Here is a 22,956-nt window from a genome sequence, read left to right on the forward strand (position 1 = left end):
TCTGTGAAGTTATTTAGCATTTAATATTCCCTTCGGGAAATCAATATGATTTGGGGGAGATTATTTATATACCACTAGTCAAGTGTGGTTTAAATAAATGTACCGTGTTGGTAGAGCCATGTGAATGAATCTTCAATGTCAAGACCTTACTATTGTATAAAGAGATGTTATCATAAATCAGCTAAAAGGAAAATGGTTAGTAAAAATTATCTGGTCATTTTCCTGATATAGATGACTATATTAGGTTCTGTTTTTCTGGTATTTGTTCAAATCATAAAAATGAATGTCTGGGCACTGTATACCACACATTAACATTTATTAGTTATTTAAAATGTATATTCTATGAAACTTATTTTATTTTGGGGAAGTGAAATATGGGCTGGTAGTTCAGACAGGTATACATAATTCATGATTTTTTAACCAGTTAAGTAAAAAAGAATTAACTGAATGGTAACAAAATAACTCCCACTGTTAAGCAGTCAGGGTGCATTCTGCATAATTCAGGATACAAATCAATTCCTTCCAGGCTTGATGGAAGTTCAGAGCAGAGGAGGATGGTTACCAGGGCAAAAAGAAAAGGGGAAATGAGGGGGCAAAAAGAAAAGGGGAAATGAGGGAAGTCTAGGGTCTCTGAGCTAAGCCACACATTGGTTAGCTTCTCCGTAGGCCGCTTCACTGGAATCCTGACTCCTATTACAGGAAACAGAAATTCCTGGGAGAAACAAGACAAAAGTGCAACTAAAGGGATGGACTCTTCCAAAGCAACCTCGAGGGTGTATGCGGAGTGAGAGCCTGCAAGCCTCACTTGAAACAGAGGGTCCACACTGGCTTTCGTTTTCTCTATTTAGCTGGTTCTCAGAAACAAAGGGTATATCCTGCTTTAAACAACTAGAGCATGGAACCAGAGGAATACATTATTTGGTTATTACCAAATTTACAAAGGGATTCCACTCCTTATCCAGACATTCACTATAAAATGAATATCTAGTGAATTTTCCCTGGAGCCAACAAAAAACATTTTGGCTTACAAAAATTATTTTCACATATTTAGGTTGAACCATATGGAATTGTGGATATCTGATCATTTGTGACTAGCAAAAATGGCAGTTTCTTAAGGTTAACCTTAAGATCTAGCTTTCTAGGAACATATCCTTTGTATAAAGTAAGATGCGTCCTGCTGAGAAACTTTACAATACATCTGATGGGGAGACATTTTAATGGTGTAAAATAATTCAAAGGGTATTATTTCAAGGTTCAAAAATCTCCAATGTTCTGACTTCCAACTCTCTTTGGTATGAGTGCTCAAGAAGTTTTTAACCTAAAAGTTGACATTGTCCAATCATTAAGTGATTGGGCCAATTTGCAACAACAGCAATAACCAAAAAGGTAGATCAGTCATTGGCTTCAAAAAAGAACAAGAAGTTGTTAGCTAGTTGTTAGCTGATGGTATCTTTCCTTTTCCACTGTTAGAAATATCATGTGTGCAATGAACTGCATGGTTGTTATTATAGAGTTCCGGGTCTTTTAATATCTGGGAGAGACAGAACAGCAGGCTTCAGGCGGGTTAGGCGAGTTTTGCCCTTTCTGGCTCATTTGTCTAAGAAAGAATTTGGTGACTTGACAAGTTTCTAGAAGTAGATGAATATTACTTGAGTGAATGCAGCCAGAGGCAGTTAGCAAATTCTGACCACCATCATAGTTGTCACCCACTGAAATTGAAACTTGAGTCCAAATTTATACAAGTGGATTCACTTACGTGGTACAGAATTCACATGCTGTTTATTAACTATCACTGGGTCCTTTTTTCTGAACCCTGTACATTTTTGGATGGCATGATATTTTGGTAGTTGTAATCCTCTTGTGACAGGTTATAAAAGCCAGTTAAAACTTTCTTGTTTTGTTCTAACTCAGTATACCCAGCTTTAATTGCAATGACGATTTTGATTCAAAAGACAAACTTCAGGAAAGGAAGTGAAAAAGTCAGCAAGTCTGGAGAAGGTTGGAAGAGGGAGTGTGTGTAGGATGTGGGGAGAGAGAAAGACAGCAGATTCTTCTTCTTTTTTAAAGGAATTATTCACTTCTAAATGAGACAGCTCATTTTAACTGCCCCGAATTTATGGGTCTAGCCATTGGGGGAAGATTATGTGTCTGGGGTTGTCTGGGGAAAGAAGCTACCTGGCGGTCCAACATTCACGGTCAATTGTTATTACAGGTGTGGGAACTTGTTGCTGGCAATGAGAGAATTCCTAGGGCAGGAAATTCAGATGGGGGTTGGTTCATTGATGGGGTGGTCAGGAGGCAGCCAAAGCCCTCTGCCAGTAATGGGTTTAGGTAGCTACTGGAGCTAGTATTTTCTGCTCTGTAGTTTAGAAGGATGCCACAATCCAACATTTCTCTATAGAAATGCATGGCCTATTTCATGTATCCATTGACTTTATTTTGCCCAGCAGTTACACTCAAATAACAAGCAGGCAATATTTTCTTTATAGACAAATTGGCTTATACTGGGTTATAGTAATTAATAAGTTACATATATTACATAATCACATAATCAATAAGTTACATAAATTAATAAGTACATATATTATATATATATATATGGATGGAGAAATTACTTTTTAAAAAACTTGTACCTATTTGTAATCCCACCAACCAAATGAGAGTTATTAGCTTGTTTTGAGAGATTCCAGCCAGGCCACTCTTACTTTGGAGGAGACCAGGGCATATTCCCCAAATTCTTTCCTTCTTTCCTTTCTTCCTTTATCCCTCCCTCTTGCTGACAAACATTGACTGATCACATTCAAACACTGGACACAAAGTCTTCAATCACATTAGTCAGCATGTGTGGGAGAGTAAAAATATCATATGTTCTCTTATTTTGTCTTCTTACATAATCCATATAAATATCATAGAAAATTCCAACATGCTGACTTTCAATCCCCCTTTCCCAGATGCTTTTCACATCTGGAAGTCACACAAATTCTTGTGTCAGACCATGCTCCTCAATTTTGCTCTGGAAATATTGTCACCATAACTGTGGGAGACAGAAACCGGCCATGTCTTTTCTTTAGCCTGACTGCCGCACTCATTAAATGGCTCTTCATCTTTTCTCCTCCTCAATGATGGCACTATGGTGCCTCCTCTTCACATCCCCACCCCCCAGCCTCAGGTTTAGGCAGTGAAGAGACAAGAGTGCATGGTTATGCAGTGGAACCTTTTAGTACCCTTCCTCCCTTACTTCAGACTCTGTATTGTATTAATGAGCTATTGTCATGGTGCTTTAAGAAGCCAGGATGAACAACAGCCTTCTTGTCAAGGAAAGTGACAGTCAATTAATGAAGGTTTTCTGTATTGTTTTAAGTAGGAAAGCCTCCAAATAGCTTTTCAATTGGTGAGAGGAACTTCAGAGCTCACCCTCGTTCCAGAATACTCTGACAAGTTTCAAATTATTAATGGACCTCTTTCAGGCCTCTGTAAATTTGGGCTTTTATAGTGTCTACTAAAGCCAAGCAAACTGCTCCAATAATTATAAGTTAATAAAACACATTGAGGTGTATATGACATGAAACATGATTAAAACACTCCCAGCCATATTGATCCCATATACAATAGGAACAGTTCAGGAATTCTGGCTGTGCCTCTTTCAAGTAGCCCAAAGTAAAATTACACTGTATTTCAATTGTGGTTTTCATCTCCTTTCATGATTTTCCCCTCTTAGAAAAAAAGAGAAGGAGCAAATATTAGGATCATCAAGTTGATGAATTAAAGAATCAAGATGCAATAGGCAGTGTATAAAGGTTTGTAGTGACCAGCTGTTGAAAGTGAAGCTCAAGTGCATTATAGTGGCATGTTCTTACGAATGTATCTTCTAATGCTTTTCTATATTTTAGTGACCTGTGAATGATTTAATGCAGTGGGTCTCAACAAGGGGTTATTTTTTCCCTGCAAAGGACATCTGGCAATGTCTAGAACATTTTTGGTTACCACAACTCAGTGGGAGAAGAGTGTTACTGGCATCCACTGGGTAGAGGACAGAAATGCTGCTACACAATATGCAGGACAGCCTCCCACACTAAAGAATTACCGGCCCCAATTATCGATAATGCCAAGGTTGAGAAACTCTGATTTATGTACATCCAATTCAGTTTGTTGGATTCAAAGTCCATATTTAAATAATTATTTCAAGCATTATCAGCAGTGACAGTTAAAAGTAGGTAGTCTGACATGAGTAGGGAAGGAGAGGGTCCCCTTTACCCCCAGGAATGTCAGGTGACCATCAGGTGATGGTCAGGCAGTTGTTAACTGTCTCTCTAAAATGATACCTGGTCACAACTGGCAGCGGGGAAAGGGAGCCTCCCAATAGATAGAAAACACCTGAGGCTGATGATCAGCGCTTCCTGATAAGATCTCAGGAGTTGGGCAAGTGGGTTCAAGCATGTACAATAAGAGGCAAAATGGTGGAGTTTAATGGGTATATGACCTTCTTTTAGGAATGCGGGACTGGTAAGGGAAGAACACCTCAAGTGAGCATGTGCACAATTTCAGCAAACTCACTGCGTATATGGCCCCTCCTAAGTGCTGGCAGGTCACCGTGCAAGCAGACAGCCCACTCCAAGGGAAGAATCAGAGGAGAAGAAATACAAACCCTGGAACCAAGCCAATGTATAAAACCCCAAGTCAAGGGCCAAATGGGGCACTTGGATCTCTCAAGTCACCCACTTGGTCCTCTTCCAAGTGTACTTTGCTTCCTTTCATTCCTGCTCTAAAATCTTTAAACTTTCACTTCTGCTCTCAAAATGTGGTTCTCTCAGCAGGAGCATCACCTGGGAAATTGTTAGAAATACAGATTCTGGAGCCCCACTCCAGACATACAGAATCAGAAACTCTAGGGTATGTTCACTATGCTTTATTTATTATTTCTTTTCTTTCTTTCTTTTTTATTTTTTGAGATGGAGTCTTGCTCTGTTGCCCAGGCTGGAGTGCAGTGGCGTGATCTCGGCTCACCACAACCTCTGCCTCCCAGGTTCAAGCGATTCTCCTGCCTCAGCCTCCTGAGTAGCTGGGGTTAAAGGCACGTGCCACCACACCCGGCTAATTTTTGTATTTTTAGTAGAGACGGGGTTTCACTATGTTAGCCAGGCTGGTCTCGATCTCCTGACCTTGTGATCCACCCACCTTGGCCTCCCAAAGTGCTGGGATTACAGTTGTGAGCCACCACACCCGGCCAGCAATCTGTGATTTAACAAGTCATCTAGGTGATGCTAATGCATGCTCAAGTTTGAGAACCACGCCCGGCCTAGTTCACTGTGCTTTAAATCTTCCAGGTGTTGCTGATAACATGCCCAAATTCAAAACCACTGCTTTAGCTGAAAAGTGGTAGAGAGATAGAGAGGGACACAGAGAAATAGAGAAGGAGATTTTTTTTTTTTTTTTGAGACAGGATCTCGCTCTCTGGTCCAGGTTAGAGTGCAGTGGCACCATCATGGGTCACTGCAGCCTAGACCTCCAGTGCTCAGGCAGTCCTCCCACCTCAGCCTCCCAAGTAGCTGGAACTACAGGCATGCACTACCATGCCCAGCTAATTTTTTAAAAACATTTTTGTAGAAACAGGGTTTTGCCATGTTGCCCAGGCTGGTCTCAAACTCCTGGGCTCAAGCAATCCTCCCGCCTTGGCATCCCAAAGTGCTGGGATTACAGGCGTGAGCCACTGTGCCTGAAAGAGAATTTTTAAAGGAAGTTCTAGGTTTGCACTACTCAACAACAAACCAAGACAACCCTTTAACCTCAACAACTTTAACTAAAGATATAAAGTTTGGGTTGGAGTTTCACTTTGAGTCTCACAGATGTGTAGAGTTCAAGCCCACTAGTTGAGATGGTCCAAAGAGGTTCAGAACTTAAGTGTTGTCATGTAGTAAGTGCCAGGCCAGGGAGAGATGGGGCACCCTCTCTTGATGAAGTACTCCGGGCATGTTTACTCTTTTCATGATAAAGAGGGCTGTAGCTAATTCTTCCTATCACCTCCAAATTTATCTCAATCTCAAGCTTTGAAGAAATATCATCAGGTATGTCAGTATTTACGTGCCCTATGACAGCGGGACTGAGAACATGGAGGAAAGCAAATGTCCTGTTTCCAGTTACCACTGCAGCACCATTAAAGCACCTCTGCTTTAATCATCCATTCTTCGACTGTATTCAGAACACTTGGAATTTTACACTCTGGCAGAATTCCCTCTTACAGGCTCCATAGCAAGATGCTTTTCCTTTGCATGTTCAAAAAACTATTCTTAAAAGAAAACAAAAATACAATTGAAAGGTGGGGAGAAAGCCTTCTTTGTGCTGGTCATTTGGAATGCAAACAATCAGAAATGTTCATTAGCATGCCAGCAGCCCAGGCCCCTGCAAGAAGCATGCTTTCCTGGAGGCACAGCTTAGAGCGAAGCCTGGGTTAAAGTTGAGTGGGAGAGAGTATTGAGGACCCTCAATCCCAAAGGGAGCCCTAAATCCTGTGGCTGTTGAGCCTGGAAACTTATATAGCTCACTGTGGCCTGTGTGCCAAAATCAAGAACTCCTCTTCTAAAAGATTCATCTTTGACAGTTGCTGATCTTGTGTAGCACTAGCAGAGCCTCTTTAAAATTCGTGTGAGATCTACTTTTGTTAATCGAATCTGGAACATTTTAATATGCTTTGCATTTCAATTGTATTAGCAGTATTTCTTATTTAACTGTAGCTCATGCTTACTGATAGCCATGGATAAAAGTAAGTCACATGTAGCATGCCAATTGTCTCATTTGATAATACTCCAAACATAACGAAAAGAGAATGAAAATGAAGCAACGTCTGGTAGGGCTTGAAAATATTTTATATCCAAGGAGCCTGCCAAAATGTTAACATAAGGGAACAATATCATCAGACAAAAGAAAAAATAACTACTAAAGCAACTAGTGACAATATGTAGAATGCCGAGCTTTGTTTAAAAAAATAAAATTCTACCACTAACATACAACAATTTCAAAAAGTGTTTATTGTTCTAATTTCACTCCAATCAAGACATAATATTTCCTTTTGTATACTGTACATATTGCAGTTTTTTAAAGAAATAATTTAATTGGCATGCAATAGAAAGTTATTCTCTTCTTAAAAATGAAGTTGGGAGGGTGGAGCCAAGATGGCCAAATAGGAACAGCTCCAGTCTACAGCTCCCAGCATGAGCAACGCAGAAGACGAATGATTTCTGCATTTCCAACTGAGGTACCAGGTGCATCTCACTGGGGATTGTTGGACAGTGGGTGCAGGACAGTGGGTGCAGTGCACCGAGCCTGAGCTGAAGCAGGGCGAGGCATCACCTCACCCGGGAAGCGCAAGGGGTTGGGGAATTCCCTTTCCTAGCCAAGGAAAGGGGTGACTGATGGCACCTGGAAAATCGGGTTACTCCCACCCTAATACTGTGCTTTTCCAATGGTCTTAGCAAACGGCACACCAGGAGATTATATCCCATGCCTGGCTCGGAGGGTCCTACGCCCACGGAGCCTCACTCATTGCTAGCACAGCAGTCTGAGATCAAACTGCAAGGTGGCAGCGAGGCTGGGGGAGGGGCGCCTGTCATTGCTGAGGCTTGAGTAGGTAAACAAAGCAGTCAAGAAACTCGAACTGGGTGGAGCCCACCGCAGCTCAAGGAGGCCTGCTTGCCTCTGTAGACTCCACCTCTAGGGGCAGGGCATAGCCAAACAAAAGGCAGTAGAAACCTCTGCAGACTTAAATGTCCCTGTCTGACAGCTTTGAAGAGAGTAGCGGTTCTCCCAGCGCACAGCTTGAGATCTGAGAACGGACAGACTGCCTCCTCAAGTGGGTCCTTGACCCCCAAGTAGCCTAACTGGGAGGCACCCCCCAGTAGGGGCAGACTGACACCTCACACAGCCAGGTACTCCTCTGAGACAAAACTTCCAGAGGAGCGATCAGGCAGCAACATTTGCTGTTCACCAATATCCACTGTTCTGCAGCCTCTGCTGCTGATACCCAGGCAAACAGGATCTGGAGTGGACCTCCAGCAAACTCCAACAGACCTGCAGCTGAGGGTCCTGTCTGTTAGAAGGAAAACTAACAAACAGAAAGGACATCCACACCAAAACCCCATCTGTACGTCACCATCATCAAAGACCAAAGGTAGATAAAACCACAAAGATGGGGAAAAAACAGAGCAGAAAAACTGAAAAATCTAAAAATCAAGCACCTCTCCTCCTACAAAGGAATGCGGCTCCTCACCAGCAATGGAACAAAGCTGCATGGAGAATGATTTTGACGAGTTGAGAGAAGAAGGCTTCAGACGATCAGACTACTCCGACCTAAAGGAGGAAGTTCGAACCCATGGCAAAAAAGTTAAAAACCTTGAAAAAAGATTAGACGAATGGCTGACTAGAATAACCAATGCAGAGAAGTCCTTAAAGGACCTGATGGAGCTGAAAACCACGGCATGAGATCTACGTGATGAATGCACAAGCCTCAGCAGCTGATTTGATCAACTGGAAGAAAGGGTATCAGTGATGGAAGATCAAATGAATGAAATGAAGTGAGAAGAGAAGTTTAGAGAAAAAAGAATAAAAAGAAATGAACAAAGCCTCCAAGAAACATGGGACTATGTGAAAAGACCAAATCTACATCTGATTGGTGTACCTGAAAGTGACGGGGAGAATGGAACCAAGTTGGAAAACACTCTGCAGGATATTATCCAGGAGAACTTCCCCAATCTAGCAAGGCAGGCCAACATTCAAATTCAGGAAATACAGAGAATGCCACAAAGATACTCCTCGAGAAGAGCAACTCCAAGACACATAATTGTCAGATTCACCAAAGTTGAAATGAAGGAAAAAACGTTAAGGGCAGCCAGAGAGAAAGGTCGGGTTACCCACAAAGGGAAGCCCATCAAACTAACAGCTGATCTCTCGGCAGAAACTCTACAAGCCAGAAGAGTGTGGGGGCCAATATTCAACATTCTTAAAGAAAAGAATTTTCAACCCAGAATTTCATATCCAGCCAAACTAAGCTTCACAAGTGAAGGAGAAATAAAACCCTTTACAGACAAGCAAATGCTGAGAGATTTTGTCACCACCAGGCCTGCCCTAAAAGAGCTCCTGAAGGAAGCACTAAACATGGAAAGGAAAAACCGGTACCAGCCACTGCAAAAACATGCCAAATTGTAAAGACCATCAAGGCTAGGAAGAAACTGCATCAACTAACGAGCAAAATAACCAGCTAATATCATTATGACAGGATCAAATTCACACATAACAATATTAACCTTAAATGTAAATGGGCTAAATGCCCCAATTAAAAGACACAGACTGGCAAATTCGATAAAGAGTCAAGACTCATCAGTGTGCTGCATTCAGGAGACCCATCTCACGTGCAGAGATACACATAGGCTCAAAATAAAGGGATGGAGGAAGATCTACCAAGCAAATGGAAAAAAAAAAAAAGGCAGGGGTTGCAATCCTAGTCTCTGATAAAACAGACTTTAAACCAACAAAGATCAAAAGAGACAAAGAAGGCCATTACATAATGGTAAAGGGATCAATTCAACAAGCAGAGCTAACTATCCTAAATATATATGCACCCAATACAGGAGCACCCAGATTCATAAAGCAAGTCCTTAGAGACCTACAAAGAGACTTAGACTCCCACACAATAATAATGGGAGACTTTAACACCCCACTGTCAACATTAGACAGACCAACGAGACAGAAAGTTAACAAGGATATCCAGGAACTGAACTCAGCTCTGCACCAAGCGGACCTAATAGACATCTACAGAACTCTCCACCCCAAATCAACAGAATATACATTTTTTTTGGCACCACACCACACCTATTCCAAAATTGACCACATACTTGGAAGTAAAGCTCTCCTCAGCAAATGTAAAAGAACAGAAATTATAACAAACTATCTCTCAGACCACAGTGCAATCAAACTAGAACTCAGGATTAAGAAACTCACTCAAAACCGCTCAACTAAATGGAAACTGAACAACCTGCTCCTGAATGACTACTGGGTACATAATGAAATAAAGGCAGAAATAAAGATGTTCTTTGGAAAAAATGAGAACAAAGACACAACATACCAGAATCTCTGGGACACATTCAAAGCAGTGTGTAGAGGGAAATTTATAGCACTAAATGCCCACAAGAGAAAGCAGGAAAGATCTAAAATTGACACCCTAACATCACAATTAAATGAACTAGAAAAGCAAGAGCAAACACATTCAAAAGCTAGCAGAAGGCAAGAAATAACTAAGATCAGAGCAGAACAGAAAGAAATGGAGACACAAAAAGCCCTTCAAAAAATCAATGAAGCCAGGAGCTGGTTTTTTGAAAAGATCAACAAAATTGATAGACTCCTAGCACGACTAATAAAGAAGAAAAGAGAGAAGAATCAAATAGACACAATTAAAAATGATAAAGGGGATATCACCACTGATCCCACAGAAATACAAACTACCATCAGAGAATACTACAAACACCTCTATGCAAATAAACTAGAAAATCCGGAAGAAATGGATAAATTCCTTGACACATACACTCTCCCAAGACTAAACCAGGAAGAAGTTGAATCTCTGAATAGACCAATAACAGGATCTGAAATTGAGGCAATAATTAATAGCTTACCAACCAAAAAAAGTCCAGGAACAGATGGATTCACAGCCGAATTCTACCAGAGGTACAAGGAGGAGCTAGTACCATTCCTTTTGAAACGATTCCAATCAATAGAAAAAGAGGGAATCCTCCCTAACTCATTTTATGAGGCCAGCATCATCCTGATACCAAAGCATGGCAGAGACACAACAAAAAAAGAGAATTTTAGACCAATATACCTGATGAACATCGATGCAAAAATCCTCAATAAAATACTGGCAAACCGAATCCAGCAGCACATCAAAAAGCTTATCCACTATGATCAAGTGGGCTTCATCCCTGGGATGCAAGGCAGGTTCAACATACGCAAATCAATAAATGTAATCCAGCATATAAACAGAACCAAAGAAAAAACCACATGATTATCTCAATAGATGCAGAAAAGGCCTTTGACAAAATTCAACAACCCTTCATGCTAAAAACTCTCAATAAATTAGGTATTGATGGGACGTATCTCAAAATAATAAGAGCTATTTATGACAAAGCCACAGCCAATATCATACTGAATGGGCAAAAACTGGAAGCATTCCCTCTGAAAACTGGCACAAGACAGGGATGCCCTCTCTCACCACTCCTATTCAACATAGTGTTGGAAGTTCTGGCCAGGGCAATCAGGCAGGAGAAGGAAATAAAGGGTATTCAATTAGGAAAAGAGGAAGTCAAATTGTCCCTGTTTGCAGATGACATGATTGTGTATCTAGAAAACCCCATCGTCTCAGCCCAAAATCTCCTTAAGCTGATAAGCAACTTCAGCAAAGTCTCAGGATACAAAATCAATGTGCAAAAACCACAAGCATTCTTATACACCAATAACAGACAAACAGAGAGCCAAATCATGAGTGAACTCCCATTCACAATTGCTTCAAAGAGAATAAAAAACCTAGGAATCCAACTTACAAGGGATGTGAAGGACCTCTTCAAGGAGAACTACAAACCACTGCTCAATGAAATAAAAGAGGATACAAACAAATGGAAGAACATTCCATGCTCATGGGTAGGAAGAATCAATATCATGAAAATGGTCATACTGCCCAAGGTAATTTATAGATTCAATGCCATCCCCATCAAGCTACCAATGACTTTCTTCACAGAATTGGAAAAAATTACTTTAAAGTTCATATGGAACCAAAAAAGAGCCCGCATCACCAAGTCAATCCTAAGCCAAAAGAACAAAGCTGGAGGCATCATGCTACCTGACTTCAAACTATACTACAAGGCTACAGTAACCAAAACAGCATGATACTGGTACCAAAACAGAGATACAGACCAATGGAACAGAACAGGGCCCTCAGAAATAATGCTGCATATCTACAACTATCTCATCTTTGACAAACCTGACAAAAACAAGAAATGGGGAAAGGATTCCCTATTTAATAAATGGTGCTGGGAAAACTGGCTAGTCATATGTAGAAAGCTGAAACTGCATCCCTTCCTTACACCTTATACTAAAATTAATTCAAGATGGATTAAAGATTTAAATGTTAGACCTAACACCATAAAAACCCTAGAAGAAAACCTAGGCAATACCATTCAGGACATAGGCATGGGCAAGGACTTCATGTCTACAACACCAAAAGCAATGGCAACAAAAGCGAAAATTGACAAATGGGATCCAATTAAACTAAAGAGCTTCTGCACAGCAAAAGAAATTACCATCAGAGTGAACAGGCAACCTACAGAATGGGAGAAAATTTTTGCAACCTACTCATCTGACAAAGGGCTAATATCCAGAATCTACAATGAACTCAAACAAATTTACAAGAAAAAAACAAAGAACCCCATCAAAAAGTGGGCAAAGAATATGAACAGACACTTCTCAAAGAAGACATTTATGCAGCCAAAAGACACATGAAAAAATGCTCATCATCACTGGCCATCAGAGAAATGCAAATCAAAACCACAATGAGATACCATCTCACACTAGTTAGAATGGCGATCATTCAAAAGTCAGGAAACAACAGGTGCTGGAGAGGATGTGGAGAAATAGAAACACTTTTACACTGTTGGTGGGACTGTAAACTAGCTCAACCATTGTGGAAGTCAGTGTGGCGATTCCTCAGGGAGCTAGAACTAGAAGTACCATTTGACCCAGCCATCCCATTACTGGGTATATACCTAAAGGATTATAAATCATGCTGTTATAAAGACACATGCACACGTATGTTTATTGCGGCACTATTCACAATAGCAAAGACTTGGAACCAACCCAAATGTCCAACAATGATAGACTGGATTAAGAAAATGTGGCACATATACACCATGGAATACTATGCAGCCATAAAAAATGATGAGTTCATGTCCTTTGTAGGGACATGGATGAAGCTGGAAACCATCATTCTCAGCAAACTATCGCAAGGACAAAAAACCGAACACCGCATGTTCTCACTCATAGGTGGGAATTGAACAATGAGAACACATGGACACAGGAAGGGGAACATCACACACCAGGGCCTGTTGTGGGGTGGGGGGAGGCGGGAGGGATAGCATTAGGAGATATACCTAATGTTAAATGACGAGTTAATGGGTGCAGCACGCCAACATGGCACATGTATACATATGTAACAAACCTGCCCGTGGTGCATATGTACCCTAAAACTTAAAGTATAATAAAAAAAAGAAAAATAAATAAAGAAAAATGAAGTTGGGTGTTAAGGGGTTTTCTTGTGTTAAACAGAATATTTTCCATACATATGTGTGTATGTGAATAGATATATTTCTCTGTATGTAATCAGAACTAGAGGTCAACTTTCTCTAGTGTGAATTAAAGAGTAATTAATACAATACTGTATCCTTTGGGTCCTTTGGATTCCAAAGGACCAAAGAAGCTGAGGAATAACAGATTTAAGAGGTTTGGATGTTGCAAACTCAGATAAATTCATATAAAGTGTAATTTTGTGGGTTTCTCACTTATCAGATCTAAAGACACAGCATTCTTTGCTAATGTTTCAGTAACATTCAACTATCAATAAGTATTTTCTATGGTCATTCTGTGCCGAAAACACAGAATCAAATTTCTCCCACCTACAGTACAATCTGGAATGTGAGGATTGTGGGGGCAAAAAACTTCCTTAACAAATGATGCTAGCAAAAACCAATAATTGTTTTCTCGGGCAAAAGGGATTTAAATCTAAAAAAAAAAAAAAAACTTTCTGAAAATTAAAGCTAAATCATTAGTTTTGCACTCAATAAAGAATACAGCCAAGCATGGTGGCTTGTGCCTATAATCCCAGATATTTGAGAGGCTGAGGTGGGAAGATCGCTTGAGGCCAGGAGTTTAAGACCAGGCTGGGCAACATAGCAAGATTACTGTCACTACAAAAAGAGAAGAAAAGAAAGAAGAAGACGACCTTCTTCTGCAGGGTACAGGCTTGCTTTTTGGGAGATTATGTGTAGAAATATTTCCAAACTGCCACCAACATAGTTCTTTGGCCATCTCCTTATATCTCTGAATGAATGTGTGATTAGAAAAAGCATTTTTATGTTATCCTATGCTAAGTATAATTTTAAAAGCAAGCATATGGCTGCAAAAAAAAAAATCACTTAATAGATGATGCTACTTATCCAGAGGTTGGGAGACAGGAGACATAAATTTCTCTAAAGCTTCTTCTAGTTCTAACATTTTCTTTTTCTGTGTAAAACAATCTCCCCCACTACCTTATTCTACTGGTGTGCATGTTGATATTATAAAGACACGGCAAATTATTGAAATTTGAGTCTCAAAAATGCATCTAAGGATATGAGATGTGCCTGGATATTTAGCAATGCTGGCTACTTACTTGTTATAAATCATCTAGAGATATTACAACTTTAAATAGTCCCCAAGGGCAAAAATGGCCATTCCAGTGGGGGAAAGCAAAAATCTAAGACAAATAGGAATTAGTCAATCGTTTCTCCCCAACCAAACCAGTGATGAAAGCTACAAAAAATACCTTCCCTGGTTGAGAAACATCCCGTCATTTAAATTGCTGGGTTAATGAATATCGGCCTTCAAGAGGAAAATTGAAATGTATTTTATCACAGACTAGTTTATGGATGTGTGTGTTTATGATATCAGCAGAAATTTCTGAGATGACTGAAGAACTAGCTCAGGAAATGGCCAAGAACAAAGGGAGACGAGGCCATCAGAAACCCAAGCCAAATCATGTCCTGAAATTTAAGTTTCCGGGCAGAATCCTCTCTTGCAATTGCTGACATTGGGAGCCCCGGTCGGAACTGCAGAAGCTGCTGCCTCTAGAAAGTTTAAGTATCTTTTTCTTGCTAGGTTTGTTATTATTACTATTTTTTCTTATCAGAGAGGTTGTGTCTCATGGTTGAGAATTTAAAGAACCTCTTTGCTGAAGTTATGGGTACGTCCAGTACCGATGGAGGTATAATGGTGCCCTCTGCTGGGAAGAGTCAGTAATGCTACCCAGTGAGTTTTCTACTGGGCCTGAAGTAATTTTAGGTGCTGGTGGAGGGATGTCAAGGGTGTTTCTGGAACAAAAAGTTCCGAGAAGTACTCTGCAAAAAAGTAGTTACAAAACCCCAAACCACATGAAATTAGCTTGATTCTGAGTTGACAGTGGAATCTGAAACCAGCTGTATTTCATCCTAAAATGTTAGCGCTATAAACCCTTCATCAAACCTGGAGACAATTATTTTCTCACTATCTGGACAAGACCACATTTCCAGCGGCTGAATTTTTCCAGGGCCGACTTTGCCTTCCCATTTTCCTTTTGTAGAGCTCCCCTCTTGCAGACTTGCATAAACAAGCCTCACTCAAGAATGAAAGATGCTATGAGGCTGAGCCCCCATATGACATTCTGTAATTTTGCTATTAAGAATCATAAAAGGAATTTGTCACAAAAAGTACACACCACACTGACATGCCTTGGCTCCTTAGAAATGCATAGTAAGGCCAAATATCGATTTTTAAAATGTCATTTCAGGAAGTTCAGGAAAACTGCACTATTTCACTAAAGGTGTAGTTTCTTATTTTTGAGACGGAGTCTCGCTCTGCCGCCCAGGCTGGAGTGCAGTGGCGCGATCTCCGCTCACTGCAAGCTCCGCCTCCCGGGTTCACGCCATTCTCCTGCCTCAGCCTCCGGAGTAGCTGGGACTACAGGCGCCCGCCACCGCGCCCGGCTAATTTTTTTGTATTTTTAGTAGAGACGTGGTTTCACCGTGGTCTCGATCTCCTGACCTCGTGATCCGCCTGCCTCGACCTCCCAAAGTGCTGGGATTACAGGCGTGAGCCACCGCGCCCAGCTAAAGATGTAGTTTCTTACTTCATTTACCAGTTCTGGATCCGCAGCCGAAATATTTAAACCATCTGTAACTTAAAGTAGCTAAAAAATAACTAAAGGGCAGTAAAAGGAGACTGTAGCCATGTATTGCATGCTAATTGCACTTCTAGTCAAAAGCATACTGTTGGCTGGACCATCTTCAGTGGCATCTTACTCTGTAAGATATTAGGGAAACATCTGTTTATTGTTATTCATTTATTTTGTTGAGACAGGGTCTCTCTCTGTTGCCCAGGCTGGAGTGCAGTGGTATTATCTCGGCTCACTGCAGCCTCAACCTACCGGGTTCAAGCATCAGCCACCTCAGCTTCCCGAGTAGCTGGGGCTATAGGCACGCACCACCACACCCGGTAATTTTTTGTATTTTGTAGAGACGGGATTTCACCTTGTTGCCCAGGCTGGTCTCAAACTCCTGGGCTCAAATGATCTATCTGCCTCAGCCTCCCAAAGTGTTGGAATTATGGGTGTGAGCCATTGGGCCTCAGCATGTTGTTTTTGAGTGTTGTCAGAGTAAGATGCTGGGTTTTCCAGGGAAGCCAGTGATGTCTATCTAAAGTATGATGTTCATCTTGAAGGAGCTTATAATCTAAGAAAGGAGAGAAGACATGTATGGGAATGATGAGAATTGATTATAGCATATGCAGCTGACTATAGTAATTCAATAAAAGAGACCTGGATTCTCTGTAGTTTAGAGGATGAGGGCAAGATCTTTCCCAACCGGAAAAAACTCTAAATGCCTCTTGGATGGGGTGTCACTTGAGCTGGGACTTTCAAGTAGATTTTTAAGTACTTATTTCTCTTTGGAAAAATAGAAAGATAAATAAAATAAATAGATGAGCTTTTCCTTTTTGCCATCTGGCCCACCTTGTGGTTTTACTGTTTTATCTTAGTTACCTTGGTTGATTTTGAGGTTTTAATCATAGGATTCCAATGCTCTTTTACTCAACATGGAGAAAACCATTTGTTTGGGGATTGATTTGTACAATGTATTCTGCAATACTTTAGATTCTAAAGAATGAGGGCGAATTTTTAAAAATTGGGGACAGGTTCAATTTGTGTGTCTCTCTGCAAACCTCGTTCAAGATGTCAGATGAAACCTGTGGGGGTATTAGCTTTCTAAAGGTGTTGTTCCATTATGCTCTAGCCTTATAGTTATTAGTTCAGAACAATGGGTCTGAACTCCAAAACTGTAGCACTGCACATTTCCCTGCAAAGAGGGACAATTATGTCATTGGAATACAGAAGAAAACAGCACTTTTTTCTCCTCCCAGGAATGATGTCACTGTGACACTAAGAGTAGCAAATTCCTATCTAGAAATCCAACTGTGTTCACTTCAGAGCACTAAAGAAGCTCAGTGAATAAAATCAGGTGCCAGTCAAAAGCTATACTTCTTTGTACCGCTAGGTGAAGATTGCATCTCTCAATTTCCCCAAGGGCTTTCCCAGTAAACACTCCCCTTAAAAGATTCGGTTTTGATGAAAGAAAAGAGAACACAATAGTATTCTCTAAGATATGATTTAAAAATTATAAATATATTTTTCCCGAGGGAAAAAACTGCATGTAACCATTTTTTAAATTGACTTTTAAAAGATATTGGCCATGTTACATATTCTATATTAAAAGATTAGTAAATTAAAAAAAATCTGTGTACATTACTGAACATAACCACAATACATACTTAGGGTCAATATGCTTAGAAAAAAGGCCTGGTACGGTGGCTCACGCCTGTAATCCCAGCACTTTAGGAGGCCAAAGCAGGTGGATCACTTGAGGTTAGGAGTTTGAGACCAGCCTGGCCAACATGGTGAAACCCCGTCTCTACTGAAAATACAAAAATTTGTTGGGCGTGGTGGGGTGCACCTGTAATCCCAGCTACTTGGGAGGCTGAGGCAGGAGAATCACTTGAATCCGGGAGGCAGAGGTTGCAGTGAGCTGAGATTGTGCCACTGCACTAGAGCCTAGGCAACAGAGTCAGATTCTGTCTTAAAAAGAAGAAAGAAAGAAAAAGAAGAACTTGGTGCACAAAAGAAATAATACAGACAATAAACTTGGCTGAGTACCCAAATAAGTTTTCTTTCCTTCACTGTCTCATAGTTACTCTTAAGATGTTCTATATTTCTTGACCTAAGCCTCCTCAATTCTAATGGAACAAGGTAGAAGTTTTTTTCTTTTAAAAGCCACTATGTATTTTAAGCGTCTGATGGTAGGTAAGGCTGTGTAAATAAGACATATAGTAAATTATACGTTCTGAGATTTTTCTTTTAGCCTTATTTTATCTAAGCCAGATTTCTCACTGGATATTTACATCAGACCCAGTAAGTAGACACACTCTGGATATCAACTAAGCAGGATTTGTCATTCTTTACAAATTGATAAATTTGGCACACTCTGTATGATATAATTAACAACAATTTCTTTTATTATTTTCAGAAGCTAAACATCTAATTCTCTGTGAGGGCAAAGCAGTAAACATTTAATCTAAATTATTTACATGTGCTTTGTGAGAAAATCAAAATAAAAAAAGAGGCATTTCTGACGGTACAGGTTTTATGACTCAGGTTAAGATAAAAGGTTGGGGATTTTAGGTATTCAGTCTGTAGCATAAAATTTAGTTGAGTGTTTCTTTCTCTGAGGAAAAAAAAAAACAGAATAAGAGATACATCTGACTAAAAATTATAGCCAGTCCTGGTTGAATGAAACTACTGTCTGGCAGAATTTATGAGAGCAAAATAAAATTGTATGAGTGACAATTGGCTTTAGAAAAGGATGGCATAACAGAACCAAGTCCAAGAACAGCAGGGTTTACCTTTGCCCTCATTTCCCATCTTAAGAACTGTGGTGGTATCACATGTTTCCAACTTGAGCGTCCTGGTCCTTGTAACCACTATACTTCAGCATTCTGGCAACTCGCTGACCCACATTTTTGGTGGCCAAACTGTGGTTAGTGTGGGCCAAGGAGCCATGAACTGCTGACTAAACTCTTTCTGAAGCTTGTGGCTACACAGGAATCAGTGGGCAAAGATTGCATTCCTCTTTTCTGCCTGTGGCGTATGACAAAGTGGGACTGGGAAGGGCTACAGCTAGCAAATATTCCAAGACTACTTTCTTGATTCAGATGGAATGCTCTGAAGAGCTGAAGCAAAGAACAAAGTCTTCAGTCAAATCTCCATTTATGTAATGTCTCTGTTATATGGCAGAATGAAGACCCATGCTGTTTCTATCTCATCATGATTTTTATTTTTTTATTTTTATTTTTTTGAGACGGAGTTTCACTCTTGTTGCCCAGGCTGGAGTGCAATGGCACAATCTCAGCTCACTACAACCTCCTCCTCCTGGGTTCAAGTGATTCTCTTGCCTCAGCCTCCCAAGTAGCTGGGACCACAGGTGCCTGCCACCATGCCCGGCTAATTTTTGTATTTTCTTTCAGTAGAGATGGAGTTTCACCATGTTGGCCAGGCTGGTGTCAAACTCCTGACCTCAGGTGATCCTCCCGCCTCAGCCTCCCAAAGTGCTGGGATGACAGGCGTGAGCCACTGTGCCCAGCCTCATCATTATGATTTTTAAATTCTTCCCTTTGAATTATAAAGGATTAGTCCATCAGAGCTATGTATAGATGCAAATTAAATGAAACATTTGTCTTAACTCTGCTAAATTAGAGGGAACTTCGCAATTTTTTTTCAAGACTTGAGAGAATCATCATTCTAATATCCAAAGCAGTGATTCTCAAAGTGTGGTCCCTGAACCAGCAGTAGCAGCAGGAAGGGAGGGAGAGAGAGCAAGGATGCATAGAAATGCAGATTCCCAGACTCTAACTGACTTCTACTGAATCTGAGCTCTGAGGCCAGCAACCTGCATTTTAATAAGCCTTCCATGGGATGCTCTTGAATGCTCAATTTGAGAACCACTGATCTAAAGAACCCTTGCAGGGGTGACTTCTGTGAGAATAAGCAGTGCTGGCCTTTCCTGGGAAATGTGCAGCTTGCTATGTGTTATCAGGGACACTTCAACTTTGTATTTTGCCCATGAAATCGTAACACTCTAGTTTAGATGAAGAAAATAAGTGATCTGCCACCTCAAATTCTATTAGTTGACTTGTTCAAACTTGAATTCCGAAATATTTTCTTAAAACCCCAAAGCACAAAATGTAATTTGTATTATTGAGTGGTTCTTTGGACCATCTTCTGCACATGGTAACTGGTTTCTGTGTAAGTGAAGTGTTTCTGTGTAAGTGAAGTGTTTATTGTCTCCTAGAAATAAATATTTCATAGGCTTAAAGAATTTTAGAGGTGGATGGATCTTTAAAACTCATCAACTTTTCCCCCCCCAGGAAAAAACGTAGGCTGCAATATGGCACCTACAAGAGTTTAGGCAGAAAGATCTTCCTGAGTTCCATGGGAGTGGGTGGCCAGCTGCTGAGCTGTGACTTTCTCTGTTGGAATCTGAAAGCAGGAGCTCATCTTCATCTCTTCCCCCTCCTTCCACATCACACTTCTTGGAACAGTGTTGACACAGTTCAATAAACGTTTATTGTTAAATAATACGAAATCAAATGTGTGCTCCTTTTCCCCCGCTCCTGCAGGAGGGAAAAAGGCATTTTGTTCCAGTCTGCCAGAGGGATGAGTGAGAATGAAAAATAATGTTTGCTTCTATTATATTAATAGGCTACTTTTTTAAAACTACTAAGCTAGTAGCCTGTGATCCTATAAAATGGCTTCCATTAACAAGAGGAGCAGGACAACAAATGGAAATTATCAGGAATGAGATCCGTTGGAAAGGCTATTTGGAGATGTTTGTGCAGCACATGCTCATTACTATGTCTGGCCCAAGTCAATTTTATTTAGCACCATAAAAACAGAGTTAGCTTATGATATTTTAAGCATCTTAAACAAAGCAAGATTTATGCTATTGGGTGTGACTTTGGGCCTTCCCCTCTACCCGGTTTTCCACAGGTCTGGAAAGGCAAGAAACTGTTTCTTTATGCATTGCGAGTATAAAGTAGGAAGCCCCCGCCTTCTCCCTTCTAATATCACCAGCAATGAATAGGCAGCGTGTTTCCCATAATTCAGCAATAACTGGGCTATTATTCTTTAATGCTTCAGTTTATTAATGTAACCACTGTGTCATTCCTACCATGCCCGTGTAATTAAATTACCCGACAGACATTTGATAGGAACTTCTCAATCCCCACAAAAGCCCAGAATTTCTATACCCCTTTGTGAGTCCCTAATGAATGGGTGGCACAGACACTTCTGTCATCCGTGCTCACTCACTGTCCTTTCCTGACTGCTCTCCTGTGTCACAGGGGCTTGCTCCTGCAGACAAACTGGGAGCCGTTCTAAAGGAGAGGGTCACATTTCCAACACAGCTAATGTAAGGCATGCTATCACCTTCCTCTCTCTTTGTCCTGCTAAAGCAGAGGCTGACCAAATTAAATTCCAAAACCGTGTCTGCCACGGTAAATCCACGGTGCATTCTTAAACCTTGGCTACCGAATGCTAATCCTTACTTAAGTCATGATTCTAAAGGGAAAATACACTGAAAATTTGCTCAAAAATTAAAGCAATCACATGCCTATCCAAATATATCATTCTATGACTTTCTGAAAAGGAAAAAAAATACACTTACAAATTAAACGTTTCATCCTTTAATTTTATAAATGAAGCTATAATAATGAAGCCTCATCCAGATGGTACTCGAATCCATCTTGGAAAAAGGCTTCTGTGATTATTTATAAAATAATGGACTTTTCTAAACCACTCAACTGGTCATTTTAAAATGCTAATTTCAAAGCAGTACTCTCTATTAATGTTATAGAACTTAGACATGAACTCATTAAAATAATCAAAATAGATTTTAGAGTAGGACTTCTTTCATTTCTAGAAATGGTACTTTAGAGACTCTAGATGTTTCTAAAGATTTAAAAATTCTTGGCCGGGGGCGGTGGCTCACGCCTGTAATCCCAGCACTTTGGGAGGCTGAGGCGGGCGGATCACAAGGTCAGGAGATCGAAACCATCCTGGTTAACATGGTGAAACCCCGTCTCTACTAAAAATACAAAAAATTAGCCGGGCGTGGTGGCGGGCACCTGTAGTCCCAGCTACTCTGGAGGCTGAGGCGAGAGAATGGCGTGAACCTGGTAGGCGGAGGTTGCAGTGAGCCGAGATAGTGCCACTGCACTCCAGCCTGGGCAACAGAGCGAGACTCCATCTCAAAAAAAAAAAAATAAATAAATGAATAAATAAATAAATAAATAAAATTCTTATATTTTACAGTTAACACAATACAATACAATTAACCTAGTAGATGTATTTGTTATGTAGAGTATAGATTTGAATACAAATCTGGATGCCCAATTTTTGAATATTTAAATTACTTGATCTGTATATGACAAGAAGAATATGAGGATATGTAAGTGTATCGAAATAAAAATCAAGATCTAATTTTAAAAGCTATTTGCTTTTATAAGAAAAAAGCATCAAATCAAAGTATGTGATGCCCAGATCAAGAAGATTGAAAATGCTTCTGACAAACTAACATTGTATTTTTAAAATTTGTATAAATTTAAGAGGTACAAGTTTAGTTTTGGATATATTGTGTAGTGGTGAAGTCTGGGCTTTCAGTGTAACTATCACTCAAATAGTATCCCATCACTCAAATCGTACCGCAACTAACCTTTCAGATCAGATACATCTTTTTTTTTTTTTTTTTTTTTTTCTGAGACGGAGTCTCGCTCTGTTGCCCAGGCTGGAGTGCAGTGGCACGATCTCGGCTCACTGCAAGCTCCGCCTCCCGTGTTCACGCCATTCTCCTGCCTCAGCCTCCCGAGTAGCTGGGACTACAGGCGCCCGCCACCACGCCCGGCTAATTTTTTGTATTTTTTTTAGTATAGAAGGGGTTTCACCGTATTAGCCAGGATGGTCTCGATCTCCTGACCTCATGATCCGCCCACGTCGGCCTCCCAAAGTGCTGGGATTACAGGCGTGAGCCACTG

At 40.5% G+C, this 22,956-nt stretch overlaps 1 protein-coding gene across 1 annotated transcript in view, besides 1 other annotated feature; it reads right to left on the bottom strand.

Annotated features, from left to right (window-relative positions):
- MID1 (midline 1) overlaps nucleotides 1-22,956 on the bottom strand; it is a 388,374-nt gene that overhangs the window by 262,599 nt on the left and 102,819 nt on the right. The gene's annotated exons all lie outside the window — the stretch shown is intronic.
- Nucleotides 14,921-15,215: a silencer, noted in NCBI's record as "tiled region #5514; HepG2 Repressive non-DNase unmatched - State 24:Quies". NCBI's record gives its function as "represses a minimal TATA promoter and a strong SV40 promoter by Sharpr-MPRA in HepG2 cells {active_cell/tissue: HepG2}" and the evidence as "EXISTENCE:reporter gene assay evidence [ECO:0000049][PMID:27701403]".

This window comes from Homo sapiens, chromosome X, assembly GCF_000001405.40.
Source record: "Homo sapiens chromosome X, GRCh38.p14 Primary Assembly".
Classification (NCBI taxonomy): domain Eukaryota; kingdom Metazoa; phylum Chordata; class Mammalia; order Primates; family Hominidae; genus Homo; species Homo sapiens.